The sequence below is a fragment of the Homo sapiens genome, chromosome 20 (assembly GCF_000001405.40).
Source record: "Homo sapiens chromosome 20, GRCh38.p14 Primary Assembly".
NCBI classification, from domain to species: domain Eukaryota; kingdom Metazoa; phylum Chordata; class Mammalia; order Primates; family Hominidae; genus Homo; species Homo sapiens.
In genome coordinates this window covers 41,386,791-41,408,283 of record NC_000020.11, presented here as the reverse complement: position 1 = coordinate 41,408,283, position 21,493 = coordinate 41,386,791, and the positions used below count along the sequence as shown (strand labels likewise).

General features: G+C 48.6%; 1 protein-coding gene across 14 annotated transcripts in view, besides 1 other annotated feature; it reads left to right on the top strand.

The window, feature by feature from the left end:
- The window catches only part of CHD6 (chromodomain helicase DNA binding protein 6), a 216,295-nt gene extending 210,094 nt beyond the window's left edge, over positions 1-6,201 (top strand). For 13 of the 14 annotated variants that reach the window (NM_032221.5, XM_047440549.1, XM_047440545.1 and 10 more), the window contains one exon: positions 2,795-6,201. In NM_032221.5, coding sequence (NP_115597.3) covers positions 2,795-3,691 — 897 coding nt within the window. In that variant the 3' untranslated portion in view covers positions 3,692-6,201. Of the gene's footprint in view, positions 1-101; positions 138-2,794 lie in introns of those variants that run through there. The other variant, XM_017028102.2, reaches the window with a different exon arrangement.
- Positions 15,946-16,611: an enhancer, noted in NCBI's record as "NANOG-H3K27ac-H3K4me1 hESC enhancer chr20:40020313-40020978 (GRCh37/hg19 assembly coordinates)". NCBI's record gives its function as "activates a minimal SCP1, AML or CMV promoter by ChIP-STARR-seq in naive H9 embryonic stem cells {active_cell/tissue: H9 hESC(naive)}" and the evidence as "EXISTENCE:reporter gene assay evidence [ECO:0000049][PMID:30033119]".

Here is a 21,493-nt window from a genome sequence, read left to right as displayed (position 1 = left end):
AGGGCCTGTGTTCTCACCTGCTCTGTCCCTGACCAACTGTACCCTCCCCACCCCCACCCCCAGCTTGTGAAAACGAAGGGGACTAAATATAACAGTTTCAGGGGTTTCTTCCAGCTCTGTGATGCAAACCAAGGCTTTTTGAGAAGAATTTTCTTAAAGTTGCCATCATGAAGCTTTTTTGTCTATGATGAACTGGGTTTTTTTTTTATTTTTTATTTTTTTAATATTCTTGGGAAACTGAAGGACAGGTGTAGGAGTTCAAAAAATATTTCTGGGGACTCAGAAACATTCAGATATGCACGTTTTCACACATCTATGAATCTGTAAATTCTCTGTAAAGCAGGCATGATGATAGTACTGACTCCACAGGGCTGATTCACTGATTTGTTGAGATGCTGCTGAAGCCCTTCGTACAGTGCCTGACACGTGATCAGTGCTTCCTTCGTGGCGTCTCGCACTCTTCTGCTGCTCATCCTCTTATCAGCACCGCCTTCCCTGCTGCCTCTGACAGCCGTTCCCCTCGCTGCTGAGTGCCCACTAGTGTGGGAACCAACACAGTCCAGCTGCTGCTCATTTGGGGCCCACCACACACGTGTGTTCTTACAGCCCATGAGAACCTGAAACCAGTACCACCAGCTAAGGTTACAGCTGCCCCTTAAATAAAAATCTGCTGGGTCTTCTAAGGATTTGCTTATTTCATAGTTTATGGAGAAGAGAGGCAGTGGGAAAAATGGGAAATGCCTGGGCTGCCAAATTAAAGTTAAAAGTAGGTGCCCTTAGGCAGATTGTAAATAGATTTCTTAACTGCCCTCAGGCCTGGTGGCCAGTCTCAGCCCAGAGATATCCTCAGCTTCCCTGGCTTCTTTCTCTGCGTTCTGTGGGGTTTTTCTGGTCATTCTGGTGTCTCTTGGTGGACCCACATCTCCTTTCGCACCCCAAGAGTGTACCCCAGTGAGAGCAACAGCCAGATCCCTGCCTCTGATTCCCACAGACAAGGAGGCTGTGGGCTGGTGGAGCCTCAGCTGCTGCTTGTCACATCCCCACCCCCCACTCTGCAGACTCTAGTGGAAGGGAAGGTATTCCAAAGGAGAATCCTGAAAAGGCCGCAGGTGCAGCCCTGGGAGTTGCCTCAGCAGCCCAGAGGCCTCACCCCTCACTGTTGAGCTCTCCTGTCTCATGCTGCTCCGTAGGCTGCGCATTCCGGCCTTGATGGTGACCATTGACCTCAGTGGAATCCAGTGTGACAAGATCCATTGAAGCCACTCTGAACATTTTGCTTCACCATTGCTGTAATCAAAGGGAAGGGGATAAAACAGCACTGACTTTGTAGCAAGAACCGTAAGAAGATGCCCAGGCAGTCAGGGAGGGTGCCAGCAGGGGAGGGCTTTGTCCTCAAACTGTACACCTCCCCTGGGTGAGGAAACGCTGAGACTGCTGAACTGCACAAGTACAGTTCACCTTTTTTAATACCATGGGCATGTACTAGTTGATAAACTAGCTGATAGCAGTGAGGTGTGGAGGGCAGTCGAGAGAGAGAAAGGCATGCAGTTCTCCAGGGGCGCAGGGACTGCGGCACTAAGTCCTGAAAGAAATCGCTTCCCATCTGTGGGAAGAAATTCTCTCAATCTCTAGGGATTATAAATTCAGAGAAAGATCCATCGTAATTGCAGTGGTTTGTTTACGCTCCAGGGACCAGGTTCCTGGCTGCATCCTCTCTGCCCTGCAGAGCTCCTGAGCTCCACTCTCAGGAAGGAGGGTGTGGGGCTGCAGCCTGCGCCTTCCTTTCCACGTGCTGCCTTCCGCTCGCTGATGCTGCTGGAGCAATCTGCCCTCCCCCAGGATTCTGTGCAGCTCAGCCATCCTGATGGGTTATGGGAATGTCCAGTGCAGATGCCAGATCACCCGTGTTGAGGGCCCAGGTCCTGTCACAGTGTGGTCCACGTGGAGCAGAAGTGCTTTACTGCAGAACTCTCTGCTAATTAAGAAAATTGGAGAGTGAACCTCCAAATAGAGAAAAAATAGATGGTCTCCCTTAGGGAGAACCACCACTTATTTTGGTGGCAGTTTCCCCAACAGTGTTCAAGAAGTCCTTCATTTCTTCAGCAAACATGTACACATCCCATTGTATTCAGAGAGGAGTGGGGCATACACACAATAAATAAGTAATGTGCCATTAGCAAGCACTGCTTCCTATGGATCAGGTAATGTATTAAACACGTCACTTTCCGTGACTCTAAAGATAGGTACCATTGTCCTTTTTTACTTAAACTCAGAGGCTAACTGACATGTCCTGAGTCCCACAGCTAGGAGGTTGCAGTCAGGATTTAAACTTGGGATTAAAACCCTGTCTTACATATTCTGCTTTGTTGCTTCAATAAAAACCTGTGTCAAGAGGAAGGCAAGTGTTGGGATCTGGTGAAGGGGTCTCAGCCATAACAGTCTCACCGAGAACCAGAGCACTTTTAGTGCTTTCTCCAGCTCCCCACTCTCTTCTGCCAGCTTCTCACAGACTGGATGCCACTTTTGCCAGTCAGCATGTTGGAATTACCACTGGGCAGTGACAGGTGCCCTAGTTGTGCCCATGCCACAAAATGTTCTCAGCTGCTGAGGGAGAAGCCTGTCAGGTACAGTCAGGCCAGAGAGCTGCACAAGTAGGCGGGAGGTGCTCCTTGTACTGGGAACCCTTCGTGCAGCTGGAGACAGGCCAGGCCAGTGCAGAGCCCTGGTCATCACCCTCAGCTGACCACCTGCCATCCTGTTGCCTTCAGCATTTTGTGTTTCTTTGTTTTTCCAGGGGTTTCTTCCAGAAAACAAGTTCAATCACACTCTGGCTGAGCCTATTCTTCGAGATACGGGCCCCCGCAGGAGGGGGAGGCGGCCTCGGAGCGAACTCCTGAAGGCTCCTTCCATTGTGGCAGACTCTCCCTCTGGAATGGGGCCACTGTTCATGAATGGACTGATTGCTGGGATGGACCTGGTAGGACTTCAGAACATGAGAAATATGCCAGGCATCCCCCTCACCGGGCTGGTGGGGTTTCCAGCTGGCTTTGCCACGATGCCAACAGGTGAAGAGGTCAAAAGTACCCTGAGCATGCTGCCCATGATGCTGCCAGGCATGGCTGCTGTGCCCCAGATGTTTGGTGTTGGGGGACTCCTCAGTCCACCCATGGCAACCACCTGCACTTCCACTGCTCCGGCGTCTCTATCAAGCACAACGAAAAGTGGTACGGCAGTGACTGAAAAGACTGCGGAAGACAAGCCGAGTAGCCATGATGTGAAAACAGACACTTTAGCTGAGGACAAGCCTGGTCCAGGTCCATTTTCTGATCAGTCTGAACCTGCAATAACTACTAGTAGTCCTGTGGCTTTTAACCCATTTCTCATCCCAGGAGTATCTCCTGGACTCATTTACCCATCCATGTTCCTCTCCCCTGGTATGGGCATGGCTCTGCCAGCCATGCAGCAGGCCAGACACTCGGAAATAGTAGGTCTGGAGAGCCAGAAGAGGAAGAAGAAGAAGACAAAGGGGGACAACCCCAACTCCCACCCAGAGCCTGCTCCCAGCTGTGAAAGGGAGCCCAGCGGTGATGAGAACTGTGCCGAACCCAGTGCCCCTTTGCCCGCAGAGAGAGAACATGGGGCACAGGCTGGGGAGGGGGCACTCAAAGACTCCAACAACGACACCAATTAGAACTTTTTTCATTTAAGAAATTATTGTGACTTGTAAGTTTCTTATCCCATAAAGGTTTGTTACTTCCCTCACTTCACCTCCATAAGAACCTGTGTTTCCATAAGTAAGATTACGTACCTGATTTCCTGTCTGAGAACTATGGTAACAGATGTTAATAGTTGCAGGGTCTCACCACTTCATTAGATAAGTGTTGTCTACCTAGTCTAGGAGGCACAGAATTCTCATTCTGTTATCCAGTTCATTCCAGCAATCATAGTTAATACAGTACTTGGTGACACGCCCTACCCCCTTCTCTTCCAAGTTTCCCACTCACTTGAGGAGGAAAAATGGCAAAAGAAAGCTGTCTAGGGTTTTACCATTGAAGGGTGGAAGAACAGAGACAAAGAGGAGCTCTTTTTCTGTGAGCTGGGTTGCACAGGAAGAATGTCACAGGGAACCAAAAAGCACAGAAAAAGGAAGTGCTGGTGCATATTTTTGAGTTAAAATATTTCCCTATTTTATCATGATTACTAAGTGAGTAGTATAGACAGAAGTATATAACTAATGGTTGAAAATACATATATTCATTTCTTTATAAAAAACAAAAACCTTACCGGTAGTAATATAATTTCCCCCTTGGTGGTTTTTCAGACACCTGCAGCAAGAAGAAATACTGACTGACTAGGCATTATTTTCTATACATCCCTCTCACCAGTGAAAAGATTCCTCTTGCTGCGAGAAAGCTTTACCCACCATGAGTTATTGCTGTCGACGGGGGTGGGGCAAGGACCCGCGCTCCGTAGAGCTACACGCTGCTTCACAAGCACACGGCTAGCGCTCTGCTCTCACCTGGTTCGCTTACAGATTTCTCTAGCCATTAATTTGCCTCTCTGTGTTTAAAGAGCACCAGGACCGAATGGATTTTCACTTCAGGCTTTCCTTCACCAAGAATAAGGTTCTTTCTGGAGCCTGCAAGAAGACAGTTGCCCAACACTTTGACACTTGCTAGTAGGTCCTTTGATCAAGAGTGTCTGAGGCTGTCAAATGTGTGCCACCCTTTATAATACAGCTATGAAAAGTTACTTCTCCATTAATTTCTCCATTCTGTTTATATCTTACAGTTGGACCCAAATTCCAAATTATCAGTTAATCGAAACTACATTGCAAGTCAACATTATTTTCTCTTCTTCCTCAGCTTCTCCATGTTTAGGAACTGAGAAAGAAACTGCCTAAGCAGCACTTCCCCATGTCCTTTCACCTTCATGTTAACGTCCCTTCTGATGGTCTCACTCTTCACAGGTAGTTCACACTCTGAGACTTGAAGTAAGCTCATGGTTCAGTACTCTGGGGGCGCAGGGCTGCGCAGGACCCTTGGAAATGTTGCAAGTGTTACTAGTACCAGTTTCACTTTTTGTTGTCACAATTTACTGTATTTTTTACTTTTTCTGTTACAGTTTTGCTAATTTATCAGAAGGTCCAAAAGTCTGACATAACTATTTCATTTTGCATTATTTATTTATGATGCTTTTTTCATTGTCTTTTATACATTTGGGATTATAAATTATGTAAATGTTAAAATGAGCATCTCAAAGAAGTCTGTTAAATCATGACTGAAAAAAATCAATCAGATGTATCTTCAAAAAGTGGAGTCCCAGTTTTATGAATCAGAGATATAAACCAGAAATTCTATAACTGATCATAGAAGAAGAATCCAGTAATTGAACAAATCCTATTTAATGACATCCTTGTAGCATAGATGGTCTATAATGCTGACCACAGATTTCTTAGAAATGCTGCTCTCTCTATTTAACTAACATTTTGTTCAGTTTTGCCTCCAGTGGAAGCAGAAAGGGTTTTTTCAGCTGTTAAATCCTAAAAATCAATATAATTTATTTATGTAAGAAAAATAACTCAATCAATATATTTTTGAACCTTTTAAGTACTAATTTTCTTTTTATCAAGTAGAAAAAAAAATGTATTTGCCCTAAATCCTTAAAATACAAATGCTATAAAAATTCCTGTATCTTGAAAGCCTTACTGCAAATGAGTATTATAGACATCCAGCAGAGTCTGGTTTTCTTTGTTGTCGTTGTGTTGTTGTTGTTTTGTATGGAAAAGCTGCTTTCCCCGGGTTCCACTTATAACCTCCGGTAGGTCACAGGGTTCAATGTGGATCTGACTTAAAAACCCACCAGCATGCTCAATCCCTTGTTATCCTTATGGAATCTGTATGTTAACTCTCTGGGTGTTCAGGCTTCTATTTGACTGCTGTTGTGACCCTGTTTGCAAAATGAATATGACACTCTGTGGATTATTTGCTCTGTAAGGCACAAGTGCTTCTTATGATTATTTTGACGTTTCCAAGAGCAAAAGCCAAATTTAAACTCTCTTCAGCAAACTTGAGCCTTTTCATCTAATTCCATGTCACTCACGGCCATAACTTTCCTTGACCATTCTTCACCCCATGTCTTACATAATAAATTGTGGTCTTGATCCTGGATTTAAAAACAAAAGAAAAAGTTTAAAAGTCACATTTGTATTTGAGGAATTCAGTGGCACTTGGGTGTCTCCTGCTGCCTGGGGCATTGATGAGTACATGGTATGCCCATCGCCTTTCCGAGGTGTCTGATCCGTGCTGGGCACCCTACTGAGGGCTTGTCGAATATTCATCATGAGGGTTGACTTGGCCTGTCTCTTGACCAACTGACCAGAACACGTGGTTAAAACATGCCCTAGAAGGGAGTTGGGGCTGGGCGAGGTGACTCATGCCTATAATCCCAGCACTTTGGGAGGCTGAGGCAGGCAGATCACTTGAGGTCAGGAGTTCGAGACCTGCCTGGCCGACATGGTGAAACCCCGTCTCTACTAAAAATACAAAAATTAGCTGGGCGTGGTGGCAGACGCCTGTAATCCCAGCTACTCAGGAAGCTGAGGCAGGAGAAACGCTTAAACCTGGGAGGCAGAGATTGCAGTGAGCCGAGATCATGCCACTGCACTCCAGCCTGGGCGACAGAGCGAGACTCCATCTCAAAAAAAAAAAAAAAAAGGAATTGGCAGCACAGCATCCTGCTCCACAGACTGGAGGCCTGAACGCTCTCAGCTGGTACATCCCCAGTGCCACTTCTTAAGCTCCGTACCAAGAGTCCCACCTCAATCACACACCTGGAATGTATGGGGGAACTAGATTTGCATAGGTTAGAGTAGGCTCATAAAACACAGGATCACCAGGGTAGCTGAAATTCTCAAGGTTTTTCAGAACTCTGTGCTCCTGAGCATGGTGTCTCAACCCCAAAAGGGGTGGGTCAGAAGTTACCAATGAGGCTGGCAGGAAAGTGCCAAAGCCTCTTTGAAGGCTGAGCAAGAGACTGACGCAGCCTCATCTTGTTGGGTCCCAACTAAGCACCATCAGATGGGTGCATGAATGGCCTGAAGCATGGATGGGCATTGTTACAGGAAGGCCTTAGGTTTTATAGGCCTCTAATCAAGATATAGGGAGCCCTCATAATAACTTAAACAATAAGTAGTAAAGGGTCTTGGTTTCATTTTTTACCTAAAACACTGTCCCAGGAAATACTACCTTGTACAAGGGCAGAATAGGAATAGTTGGTTCAGCACACTGGACTACTGTTGGTGTGTGTTTGCCATTAGTGACCTCATTTGTCCTCACAGCATCTTGGGCACTGGGTAGAGGGATGCCAACATCGAATTTGCCTCCTGAAAGCCAGCAGAGAGGCTGCCAAAGCTATCTTGTCAATCATGAACAGCAGAGCTGGGCTAGACCCCGCAGTCCCACCAGCTGGGGAGACAGCACCCCAATTTTGCCTTTCGTGATAACATTCTGGGGCCTCTATCTCAGAAACCAAAAGTGAAGAAATTACACTCGGAAAAATTGGCACCAGGAAAAACAGAACACTCAAATAAGTGTCACACCCTCTGGAAAACTTGATGCTAGATTCATTTACACCAGATTCCTTAAATGGCCTCTTGTAAGAAGTATTGTTCATTTACCTCTTCTGGAAACCACAGGATTTATTTATTAGGTCAGAAGTAGGGTTCACCCAGCCCAGTAATTTAGATCTTGGCTGCCTAGTGGTGGGCATTGTGGCCACTTTCATAATCCAAACTCAGCAAGGTATCTATGGGACAAAATAGGGAATAGGGAAAAGGGTGAGTTCAACGCTGGCTCCTTCTGGGAAGCTGATGAGGTTAATTTGGACATGGAGTCTGAGCATGGCTGTGACAAGTTGGTGCCTCCTAGATGGCCTTGGGGTTTGAGTTCTGGCTCAGCCCAAGCCTTGGAGGACAATGGGAAGACCTAGAATGAGGGCCAGTTGCAGGGGAGGAACAGCCACTTGGAACACCCTTCTCCAAGTCTGTTTCCTCATCTGTAAAATGGGGATAATGATAGTTTGCACTAATAGGGCTGTTGATGGGGTTCATTGAAATGATTAATCAGAGTCTTTGTTTATTTTTATTTTTTTGAGATGGAGTTTCGCTCTTGTTGCCCAGGCTGGAGTGCAATGGTGCAATCTCAGCTCACTGCAACCTCCACCTCCTGGGTTCAAGCGATTTTCCTGCCTCAGCCTCCTGAGTAGCTGGGATTACACGCGCCCACCACCACGCCTGGCTAATTTTGTATTTTTAGTAGAGATGGGGTTTCTCCATGTTGGTCAGGCTGGTCTCAAACCCCCAACCTCAGGTGATCCGCCCGCCTCGGCCTCCCAAAGTGCTGGGATTACAGGTGTGAGCCACTGGCCCAATCAATTAGATTCTTAATACTGCTGATTCTGTTGAATCATAGGTCTTTTACTCCTTCTGGATAGCCAGCAAGAGGATTTACCAGTCTCACTGGAAAAACAGGATAAGGAAGGGGCAAGGAAGAGCTTGTTCCAAGTCCCAAGGCAAGTACAGAGTGGATCTGGGATTGGTCTCAGAGCACTGTGGGAAACCAGCTTTCTGTCCTGCCCGCAGGAAAGAAGGTTTTTCTGCATGAGCGCATTGTGCTGGGTGGACTAGAGGGATGTGGGGGCTGTTTTGGGGCTGGGGAACAGGAAAGTTCCTGGGTTTGTGGAGCCTCCCTCAGTGTAGGAGTGCCAGATTTAGGAGGGAAAGTTAACGCCCAGTTAAATTTTAATTTCATGTAGACATTTTTTAGAGTAAGTATATCTCATACAGTATTTGGTATATGCACTTTTAAAAATTTTCCCTTTTTAAATTTATTTAAATATTTTTGGCTGGGTGTGGTGGCTCACCATGTAATTCCAGCACTTTGGAAGGCTGAAGGGGGAGGATCACTTGAATCCAGGAGTTTGAGCCTGGGCAACATACAGAGGCCTCATCTGTACAAAAAATATTTTGAAAAATTAGCCAGGCATGATGGTGTGTGCATGTGGTCCCAGCTACTCAGGAGGCTGAGGTGGGAGGATCACTTGAGCCCAGGAGGTTGAGGCTGCAGGAAGCTGTGATCACAACACTACACTCCAGCCTGGCCAGCAGAGCCAGACCCTGTCTCTAAAAAAAAAATGCAACCTCAAAACTCCCAGGCTTAAGCGACGCCCCCTCCTCAGCCTCTGAAGTAGCTGGGACCACAGGCATGAGCCACCATGCCCAGCTAATTTTTTATCTTTTGTAGAGATGGGATCTTGATATGTTGCCCTAGCTGGTCTCAAACTCCTGGCCTCAAGCAATCCTCTCACCTCAGCCTCCCACAGCGCTGGGATTACAGACGTGAGCCACCACCCCCAGCCTAAAAAATCTGTTGTTTATCTGGAACTCAAATTTAACCAGACAGCCTGTATTTTATCTGGTAACCTTACTTAGTAGCAATAGTGTGCTATTTACTAGGCACTTCCTGTGAGTAGGATTTGTTCTACATATGTTATGGCCAAATTCTTAATCCCCGCAATAACCCTATGAGGTTATCCTCATACATACAAGGAAACAGGCCCAGGCCCAAAGAGGCTAAGTAACTTGCCCAATCATCCAGCTGGAAAATGTCAGGGCTGGGCTTCGGGAACTCAGAAGGAGTAAACCCAGAACTGTAAACTGACCAGGAGGGGAGCTGGGCATCTTTAGTCTGAGGCTTGGAGCAGGCCATCCCTCTAGAGTGCAGCTTCATAAAATAGCACTAAGCACAAATGATGAGCAAGGGGAGAGAGGCTGCTCTGGCCCTTGCACTGCAGCTACCATCCCTGAGGCCAGTGGGGAGGCAGTTAGCCTCAGTTTTTCCCTCCCATCCCGCAGTGCTGGTGTTGGGAGGCCTCTGAGCTGGGGCTTATCCTAGGGAGTAAGTGTCTAAGTGCTTGGACTCACCAGCCCAGGGCCAAGGAGCCCCATGAGAAGCAGTGTCCAATCTTGGAAGGTGGAAAGAAGGATGGCAGGGAGTAGGACAACTGTTCAGCTAGAATGACCTGGGGAAAAGGATGGGGGAGCTGACTAGGGAGGGGGAAGAGGCACATCTCACCCACTCATCTGCTGGCCATGACCTTCCTCCTACCCAGGCAGCTCAGCTACATGCACCACTAAAGGTGGCCACAGCACTGCTTAGTCAATACCTACTGTGCAGGCCTTCTGTGAGCTCATTCCAAAACACGTTCTCCAGGAGAGGACCAGGCTCAGGTAGGTTGTCACCTGCCTTCAGTGGCATAACTAATGAGGAAGAACAAGAATTTAGAGATGGGTCTGATTCCAGAATCTAGTGTTCTTGCTCAGGCCTTGGCTTTGCATGTGGAGCCACAGGCCCAACACGCTTTCTTCCCAGGGTGGAGTGAGAGCTACGGCCCACAAGCCAAGAACCAGGACTCACATTTATAAATAATTGGACAATCAAAGGGAAATATTTCATGAACATAAAAATAATCCCCTCACACCTGTAATCCCAGCACTTTGGGAGGCCAAGACAGGCAGATCACGAGGTCAGGAGATCGAGACCATCCTGGCTAACACGGTGAAACCCCATCTCTACTAAAAATACAAAAAATTAGCCGGGTGTGGTGGCGGGCGCCTGTAGTCCCAGCTACTCGGGAGGCTGAAGCAGGAGAATGTTGTGAACCCAGGAGGCAGAGCTTGCAGTGAGCTGAGATCGCGCCACTCTACTCCAGCCTGGGTGACAGAGCGAGACTCTGTCTCCAAAAAAAAAAAAAAAAAAAAGATCCCAAATCCAAATTCTAGTGGCCATAAATAAAGTTTTATTAAACACAGCTATACTCATTCCTTTGTGTATTGTCTATACAAAGCTGCTTTTGGGCTACGACAGCAGTGGTCACAGAGACCACACAGCCTGCAAAGTCGAAAATATTTATTATACTGTCTGATCCTTTGCAGAAAAAGTTTGTCGATCCCCATCCTGCAGCATCAATTTTATTCATAGATTCAATGCAAAAACTCATTTAAAATATTTCATATGGCCAGGCACAGTGGCTCATGCCTGTAATCCCAGCACTTTGGGAGGCCAAGGCGGGCGGATCATCTGAGGTGAGGAGTTCGAGACTAGCCTGGCCAACATGGCAAAAGCCCATCTCTACTAAAAATACAAAAATTAGCCAGGTGTGGTGGCAGGAGCCTGTCATCCCAGCTACTGGGAAGGCTGAAGCAGGAGAATTGCTTGAACCCAGGAGGCAGAGGTTGCAGTGAGCCGAGATGGAACCATTGCACTCCAGCCTGGGCAACAGAGTGAGACTCCATCTCAAAAAATACACACACACACATACATATATATATATATATATATATATTTCATATTAACTCCAACATGGTTTTGTATAAAAATGAATCACATAGTGGAATATAAGATTCATGTCTACTTTTGAGATAAAATGCTTCCAAGAAGCCCTTGGCTTTGGGCATGCTTCTTGAGGGCCAGCCTCCAAACCCGAGGGCATACTTTCACTTTGGAGGAAACACTGGAGTTGCCCTGTCCCCCTCCCCTCTTCACACTGAGTCTTTTTTGTTTGTCTGTTTTTGTTTTTGTTTTTTTGAGACAAAATCTCCCTCTGTCACCCAGGCTGGAGTGCAGTGGTGTGATCACAGCTCACTGTAGCCTCGAACTCCTGGGCTCAAGCGATCCTCCTGCCTCGAGAGTGACTGTCCTGTTCCCCACTGAGATGTCCAGCTGGCTCTCAGAAGCAGGACACTAGGAGAGGCTCAAGAGTCCAGGTCGATGCAGTGCTGTGGCCAGACTGAAGCAGCTTTGCCACGTCACCCTGGTCTCATCTACCATCAGGCCCCTGCTGGCTGTGTGTGCCTGTTCCCCCTCAGGATGACAACCTGGCCTCACCTTTCTCTGTCCCCAGCGCCTTGGGGCTCTTTGAAAATCCTCAGGGACTCCCAAAGCCTGCATAGGGCAGGAGAGCTGGGCCGAGGAAGGTCCACGCTGCACAGGGCAGGCAAGGACTCAGCACTGCTGGGTGTTTAGACTCTTTCCTGGCTCAGACCAAGAAAACTCTAAACTCTGTAGACACAGCTCCCAACCCCCACCCACTCCCCACTCCAGCTCTGACCCAGGCTTTTCCATTCACAGATCCCAGACTTTCCAGACCGGCAAAGAGCCCGGAGGCACAAGGCACCGTGAGTGCCTTGGGCAGGGGTTGGGGGCGGGGCGGTGGATTGTATGAGGCTGAGGAAAGCCCCAGCCGCAGCCCCTTGGGCCTCCCCAGGTAGAAGACACCCCTACCCTCACCCCAGTCCCTTGTCAAATTTCCCCGTCAAGAAGCAGCACATACGTATATAAGGATACTCCTAGTGTTGGTGTGCATCTGAGAGAGAGGGAAGGAGGGAGGGAGGGAGAGCTGGAGGGCGGTGGGGCAGGGGAGCAGGTGTTCCTCCTGGCTAAGCCCCTGCAGCTACTTCCTTTCTTCTCCCAGACAAGTTGAGGATAATTAGCATCCCATGAGGGAAGAAAGAGGCAGCTCCCATCCCTAGACTGAGCGTGGGAGAATTCAGAGCCCCCACCAACTCCACTCCCAGTGCGCAACCCAGCATCCCCAAAACAGGCCCAAGGACAAGGAGTCCACCACCCCCACCCTGTGGGCCCAACCACTCCCAGCCTCTGTAAGGAACAAGAGTTCAAAGAAATAAAACCTCCATCCAAAGAGGTACTTGCTCTGCACAGTCAACCGGGGGGGCACAATGTTCTTGAAACCCTGACCTTTCTTTGGAGTTACTGGTTGTTTCTTGTGTTCTCTGGCTCCTTTTCAAGCTGGGCTGGTCCATGAGTGTCTCTCAGGGACAAGGTACGACAATCGGAAGCAGACAAAAAAAGATTCTCTGCTTGGCTTTTGAGTTTCGGTGCCTGGCCTGGGCACATGCCAGATAAGAGCAAAGCTTCCCAGCTACCATCCCTCCCGCCTGGAAAAAGGTTTCTGAAGGGAAGAGGAAAGGGGTGGTTGGCAGCGGTCAGTGGGGATGGACTGAAGGAACCAGCCTCTTTGAGGGTGTCTCGTCTGTTTCCAGCACCCAGGAGCCCCCTGGAGCCATGTCTGAACCCAGGCTTCTGGGATCCTCTTCCTCAGTTGCCCCACCAGCCTGCCCCTCCCACACGGCTGTGGCATCTCCAGCAGCAGCCCCTGTGTCTCCTGTGACAGACCAGTGAGGGGGGTGCCACCTGTGCCCTGAGCATCCACTTGAGATAGGGTCTTACCCATTGGACTGCCCTCCCATCTTCACCCTAGGGCACCCTTAAGACCCAGTGGAGGCCAGGTACGGTGGCACACACCTGTGATTCCAACACTTTGGGAGGCCGAGTTGGGTGGATCGCTTGAGATTAGGAGTTCGGGACCAGCCTGGCCAACATGGTGAAACCCCGTCTCCACTAAAAATACAAAAATTAGCCAGGCATGGTGGTGCGTGCCTGTAATCCCAGCTACTCAGGAGGCTGAGGCAGGAGAATCACTTGAACGCGGGAGGCGGAGGTTCCAGTGAGCCAAGATTGCACCACTGCACTCCAGCCTGGGCAATAGAGTGAGACTCAGTCTCAAAGAAAAAAAAAAGACTGGGTTGAGCCCCAGTAGGGGAGATAGCAGTACAGAAAGCCCCTCTCTTGTGCCTCAGTGGGACTAGGAGAAACAGCTTGAGGTCCCCTGCACCCCAAGTAAGGCAAGTGCTGGGTAAACCAACCCTGTGCTCAAACACTGACTTTGTGATATGGACTCAGGAGGCCTTGAGCAAAAGGGCCAGCCAGGCTCAGAGCCTGCTACTCTGAAGTCTGGCAGTGGCACCCACCTCCCTGCAGAAGAGGCAGACCCAGGGTTATCCATGGCAGGGTCACCAGGGCCTGGGGCTGCAGGATGCTAGGAAGTGGCTCAGCTCCTGCCTGGTCTGGGGCATCACTCTGGGCCTCTCCCTCCAGTGTGCCCATGGGGAGTTGAGCTGCCTGAGCCCTGGGACCCCTCCGAGCTCTGCCACCCTGGACATGAGACCTTGAGATGCTGTGTCCCCATCTTTGGGGGTGAAGGGTCCATTGACCAAGTTCACCTTCAGGCTGCAGGGCCGTCTCTGGCTGAAGTTCAGCTGACTGATGCTCCCATTTAATCTTGGGGCTTGGAGCAGGGTTCCTGAGCCCCCCAGGCAGAGTTCCCACCTTCCTGTTAGGCTATTCCCCATGAGCCTTTTTATAAAGAGTTTGGCTGGGAGCCAGAGAGTTTTGGAAAGTGTATGGGCCAAGCCAAGCTGTACAAACCTGTCTTCCTCCCAGAGCTGAAAGAGGCCAGGTTGTTCCCAGACAAATGCAGAGGCGGGGCCGGGGGTTGGGAAGAAGAAAGGGGGCTATTTTAGGAGGACTTGCATACTGCAGAGCCCCCACACAGCAGCAGAGGGTGTGGGGAGGCACAGCCAGAGGCAGCAGAGTTAGGGACCTGGTACCAGGTGTCTCATGTAGACACACACATGAAACATATGCATACACCCCCAAACGCATGTGGGCACAGACACAAGTTACACAGATACGTAGGCTTGCGACTGTGTATAAGCATGTGCTGATGTGTACAGAAATATGCACAGGTACATACTAGGCAGTCGCACCTGCAGCTGCAGGGACATGCACAAACATGCTCATACATACAATCACACACCACCACGTACACACACATGCATAGACACTTAGAGATGTACACAAAGGATGCAGATTGAGCAATGCCAGGCTAAACCCAGGAGGCTGGGAGAGGGCTTGCACTCCCTGACAGCCCAACTCCCTGAAACCCAGCACACACGTGCGTGCACACACACACACACACACACACACACACCCTGGGAGGAAACTGCTTCCTCCATAGGAACTTTTGGATCCAGGGCAACATGCAATCAAGACCTTGTACTAGGAAAGAAAGCGCCTTTGTCTGCTGGGACCAGGGCTGCAGGAGCAGCTGCAGCCTCCTCCAGGATAAGAGCCAGGCCAGTTCCTTGCCCTGGGGAGGAAGGTCAGGCCAGGCCCTAGATGGGGGGTGGAAAGAGGGAGCTGGGGGCTCCAGCAGGCCCTGCCACCAATCCCAGGACACTGTGTCTGGCTGGGGGCACAAAGCCCGGAAAGCCTGTTGTTCTCAGGCCTGGCCTCCCTGACCTCTAACCCTAGTTTGGCCCTGTCTCCAGAACGACTGTGGTTCTGATCCCAGCCCTGGGGCTACACTGACCCAGACTGAGACCTGGCTCGCCTGGGGCTCCATGCCTGCCATGTGCCTGTGACGTCACTTTTTTTAGCGGAGTGAAAAAAAGTCAGGCTCTGGAATTAGAAAGATGTGAAATTGAATCCTGATTTTGTCACTCTCTGAGTGATTTTGAGAATGTACTTGACTTTTTGAGCCCTAAATTCAAACTCCTGTTATACAGAGGCAAATCTTTTTATTTATTTATTTATTTAGAGACAGGGTTTCATTTCTCATTCCATCACCCAGGCTGGAGTGCTTGCCGTAACCAACCTTGAACTCCTGGGCTCAACTGATCCCCTCACCTGAGCCTCCCAAGTAACTAGAACTACAGGTGTGCACCACTCACCTGGCTAATTTTTTTTTAAATGTATCATAGAGATGGGGTCTTGCTGTGTTGCCCAGGTTGGTCTGGAATTCCTGGCCTCAAGCCATCCTCCCCACTTGGCCTCCCAAAGCACTGAGATTATAGGCATGACTCACCACGCCCAGCCCAAATCCTCTTTATTGAGCCCACTGCATACAGCTGCCTTCTCCCTGTGTGCATCTTCTCTTCTGGGCCTGGTGAAGCTGGGTTGGTCCTCTCAGCCCCCAGCACCCCTACCCAGCACCCTCTCCTGCTGCACTGGCCCCAGGGAGGAAAGCAAGACCCAGCCCAGATCTCTAGGGGCTGCCATCTTGGGAGCACCCCTCCTCCCTTGTGCCCTTTTCTCACCCTCTGTGGTCCCAGCCCTGTCCTTGAAGCTGCCCCGTGCCCCTTTGCACTCCTCATCACACTCTGAAGGCCAAAACTTCAGTGAGAACAGCCCTGTTTTTCTAACTCAGGAAAAGGATTTAGCCTTGGAGACCCTGCAGAGGTAACTTAAGCCCCATCCCCAGACACTTCCAGAACTAATTTTAGTCCTTCCATTCAACAGATATTTACCAAAGGCCTACTATGCTATTCTAGATGCTGGAGATTACACGGTGAGCAAATAGGCAAAACTTCCTGCCCTGGGGCTTACATTCAGGCTCCCCATGCCCCATGCTGCGTGGGAGCCTTTAGCCTCACACATTCTCCACATCTGCCCAAGGGCTGCAGTCACTGTGCAAGCGCAGACACACCTCCTCCTTCATGTTGCCACAAAACTTTGGAATGTCACTATCATCACCGTCGCAGCTCTTTCTCCCACTAAGCCGCTCCTGGCTGATGCTAGGAATCTCAAGCGCAGGAATGCGCCTGGTGTGAATGCACTTGAACTATTGAAAGCCATTGAGGCGCGCTCTCTCTCTCTGCCCCGCCACCTCCTGCCCTCATGTAAGATGTGCCTTGCTTCTCCTTGCCTTCCACCATGATTCTAAGGCCTGCTCAGTCATGCAGAACTATGAGTCAATTAAACCTCTTTTGTTTATAAATGTTTTAAAAATGGGCCGGGCGCGGTGGCTCACGCCTGTAATCCCAGCACTTTGGGAGGCTGAGGCGGGCGGATCACGAGGTCAGGAGATTGAGGCCATCCTGGCTAACACGGTAAAACCCCGTTTCTACTAAAAATACAAAAAATTAGCCGGGCGTGGTGGCGGGCGCCTGTAGTCCCAGCTACTCGGGAGGCTGAGGTAGGAGAATGGCGTGAACCCGGGAGGCGGAGCTTGCAGTGAGTCGAGATCGCGCCACTGCACTCCATCCAGCCTGAGCGACAGAGCGAGACTCTGTCTCAAAAATAAAAATAAAAAATAAATAAAATAAATAAATAAATAAATAAATAAATAAAAATGAAAGCCATTGTGGAGTCTGACAGCGGCTTTCAATAGTTCAAGTGCATTCACGTACCACTGTGCCTTAGCGTAGGTCTTCTGATCTTACAGTAACTTGGCATCTTTTAACTATGATGCAGTTATGATAAATTATTGCATCATAATTGAATTATACATAATTATTTCTCTTAATTGCATCATAGTTAAATAACTTGCCCTTATTTTAAATAAAAGCATGCTGTTTTAGGAAATAAATCAGTCATGCACAATGGCTCATGCCTATAATCCCAGCACTTTGGGAGGCTCAGGCAGGAGGACCTCTTGAGGCCAGGAGCTTGAGACCAGCCTTAATAACATAGCAAGGCCCCATCTCTACAAAAAATAAAAAATTAGCCGGGCACAATGGCACATACCTGTAGTCTCAGCTACTTAGGGGGCTGAGGTGATAAGATTGCTTGAGCCCGGGAGTTCAAGGCTGTAGTGAGCCATGATCATGCCACTGCACTCCAGTCTGAGTGACTGAGCAAGACCCTGTCTCAAAAAATATAAAAGAAATGGACTGAACCTGAAGCTCAACTAGTGTCAGTTCAGTTGCCCTGCTCTGTCACTCACAGTACGATGCATTTGTTCATGAAATATTAATTGAGCACTTGCTCTTTGCCGGACCTGGAGAAGGGGAAAGGGGTCCCTGGAGCTCCCTGTCTAGAGTGAGCCAGTGAGCAGAAAATGACAATGCTGTATAGTAAGTGCTGAATAGACTGATGGGCAGTTGCCATAGGAGCCCAAGGGGAGTTCCTTGGGGGCAGTGGGGGCAGATGGATTAAAGACAGTTTTGCAGAACAGGGGATATTTGAGCTGAGCCTTGAAGGAGCAGTTGGATTTTTTTTCAGGTAGAGATGAAAGAGAGTGAGCCAAGCAGAAGGACCAGCATTTGCAAAAGTCATGGAAACAGGGAAATGCCTGATGTGTGAGGAAGATGGCAAAATGTTAAATGTCCCAGGCAGGGAGGTCAGGCTGGCTGGGGAAGTGACTGGCACCAGATAAGACTGTGAATGCCAGGGAGAGTGGGGAACCCCTGCCACATGGAGGTCACCCAACCCTGGCCCTGGAGCTGTCCCCCTGAGCTGTCCACCCCCATCCTGAAAACTCCGTTCAGCCCCTCCCCTCCTACCTTCCTCCTGCCCTTAGAAACCCTGATTTCACTGTGGTCAAATTCCCCCCCATTCTTGGCTTAGGGAAAACAATTATGAGGCAGGAATTCTTGTAAGAGCTTTTTCTATATTAAAATGCTTGATCCTCTGTTAAATATTGTTTGTCTTTTTTTTCACAGTTTGACCTTATTTTATTATGTTTTGTTAGAAAGAAGCCTCCCATTATTATGTCATGAAATCTATCAGTCTGTTCATATGATGTCTTCTTAGGAAGTTGTCCCCTATCCTAAAATTGTGTAAGTATTCGGATTCTTTTATGGTTTACCTTCTAGCATTTAAATCTTTAAGCCATCTGCAGTATATTTAGATTTAAGGTAGAAATCTAACTTTTTTCCAAATTGTTAGCCAGTTGTCCAGTCCCACATCTTAAGTAATCCATCATTTCTGCCCTGTTTTTTTTTTTTTTTTCAAATTTTCAATTCCCCCCTCTCCTCGATTTTTAAAGTTATACATGCTATCCAGAAAAAAGAAGAGGAACGAGCAGGAGGGGGATGAGAAGTGTGGAAATGTATGGCTAAGGAAGTAAAAGCCCTCCCCTTTTACCTCCCTGAGGTAGAGGCAATAACTGTTCATCATTTGTTATAGATCCTATTATTATTCGTGTTATAACACTTACTAGGTTTCTCTTAAGTGCAGAAATATTCAAAAGAGAAAACCCAAAAGGGATCAAAACCTCTGGAACATATTTTGGCATAAAAACATGTTGGCTTCTCAGGTGAAGGAGGTTGCAGTGAACTGAGATCACGCCACTGCACTCCAGCCTGGGCAACAGAGTGAGACCCTGTCTCAAAAAAAAAAAAAAAAAAAAAAAAAATATATATATATATATATATGCATATATATGTATATGTGTGTATATATGTATACGTGTGTGTATATATAGGTATATATATATGTTGGCTTTTTTTAAAAAAAAGAATACATATGGCAGGGCACGTGGCTCACACCTGTAATCCCAGCACTTTGGGAGGCCGAGGCAGGCGGATCACAAGGTCATGAGATCGAGACCAACCTGGCTAACACGGTGAAACCCCGTCTCTACTAAAAATACAAAAAATTAGCCAGGCATGGTGGTGTGCGCCTGTAGTCCCAGCTACTAAGGAGGCTGAGGCAGGAGAATCGCTTGAACCCAGGAGGCAGAGGTTGCAGTGAGCCAAGATTGCACCACTGCACTCCAGCCTGGGCAACAAAGCAAGACTCTGTCTCAAAAACAAAAACAAACAAACAAACAAAAATATATAAGGTTGGAAAATAAAACAACTCTAAAAGATACAAAATGAAAAGTGAACACTTCCCTCTCACTCACTACTGTCCCACGCCAAGTCCCTCTCCCCAAAGGTAACCACTGTTGAAATTTCCTATTTGCTTTAGTGTGACATGCATTTCTTTGCCACATTCCACATTCTCATATGGAGATGGGTCTACTGCTCGTGTTTCCATTTTCTGTGCCATTTCCCTCTCTGCTGCGCCGGCACAAGTACCATAATGTTCAATGTATTTTAGTGTTACCTGTGTTTTAACAGCTGAGAGGGTAAGTCCCGCTTTAATGTTTTTCATCTGCGGAGACATGGTGAGTATTCTACACTTAACGTTCAACTTTATATTGCACCCTCTCCCTACCCCCACCAATTTGATTGGAAATTTGTTGGAAGGGCATTGTGTGTATAGATTCATTTGGAGAAGATGATGACTTTATCTCTTTGTGGACACCTCACCCCTGTGACTGCATTCAGATTTTGTGACTTTTCTTTTTTTCCTTTTGAGACAAGGTCTTGCTCTTTCATCCAGGGTGGAGTGCAGTGGCACAATCATGGCTTACTGCAGCCTCGACCTCCCGAGCTGAAGTGATCCTGCCACCTCAGCCTCCCAATTAGCTGGGACCACAGACACATGCCACCACCCCTGGTTAATTTTTTTATTTTTAGTAGAGACAGGTCTCTCTATGTTGCTCAGGCTGATCTCAAACTCCTGGGCTCAAGTGATCCTCCTCGGCCTCCCATTGTGGGGATTACAGGCGTGAGCCTGGCCCTTTTCTCTTTGAATTGGAGTGAAGGCATACAGATTTTATTAACATCTACACAGGGAGAACCACAGAATCATTCCCCCAGACGTTGAGACTTTTCTTGTTTGGGATTTTGAACATCTCTCCTTAGAGCATCTTAATCTTCGTCCATCTGATGTCATAACTGCAGCTGCCTACTAGGAAAAGGGTTGGGAGACTCGGTCTCTGTCTTCCCATACTCGAGGGTATCAGGTGAAAGAGGGTGTGGCCTGCTCAGCAGAGCTCCAGAGAGCAGAACTCAGACCAGTTGGGGGTCACACAGAGGCCGCCTTTGGCTCAGTGAACGGAAGAATGTTCTATCCGTTGGAGCTGCAGGGCCATGGAACAAGCCACTGGGGGAGGTGGTGAGCTCCCCACCTTGGCTCTTTTCCAGTGTTCCAGGGAAAATGCAGCCCGTGCTGCCCAGGGGCATCCGTGTTGCTGAGAGGAGTAGGGGAGGATGCTCGGTGACTTGGGCCCCTGTTCTCTCCACTCAGGGAAAGTCAAGGCTTTCTGAGCCCCGTGCTGTGCTGCTTACTTCATTTCATTTTGCACAATGACCTCTCTGGGTAGAATGGCGTTATTCTATTTTCCATTCAAAGACAGGGAGGCCAAGGACTTCTCCAGGCTCATCCAGCTAGGCCTGCTTGAACCAGATTCCAAAGCAGACCCTCCCCAAGCTGCCTGTCTATGATTGTCCCCTGGGAGCCCCTGCTCAGAGTCAGGACTGAAAAAAAAGGAAGCGGGAACACCCTTCCTGTCTTTCAGTCTGGGGACAGCTGCAGGGCAGGTGAGCAGCCCAGTGGGCAGCAAGAAGGCACCCTGGCTCCTCTCCCATCCCTGGTTCTGCACGTCCATGTCTCTCCCCCGGGCAGCTCTCAGCTTGGCTCACAGTGTCCTCAGGGGGCCAATGGGCTTCTTGATTCCAGGCTGCACATCTGGAAGTTGACGCTATTAAAACAAACCCCATTATATAACAAACGGACATCTGGAATCCGTTAGCACTGAGTTTTTAGAAAAAGAAATTGTTTTGGATGTGCTCTCTCCTAAGAATGTGGCAAAGCGCCCTCACCCTGGCTGTCCAGGAACCCAGGGATCCAGGGGCCTCTCCTGGGCCCACTTCTCAAGGTACTCAGGCCAGGCCAGAGGTGGGCTGGGGCAGAGACAGAGACAGACTCCCCCGGCCCGCACAGGCAACTTCACTGTC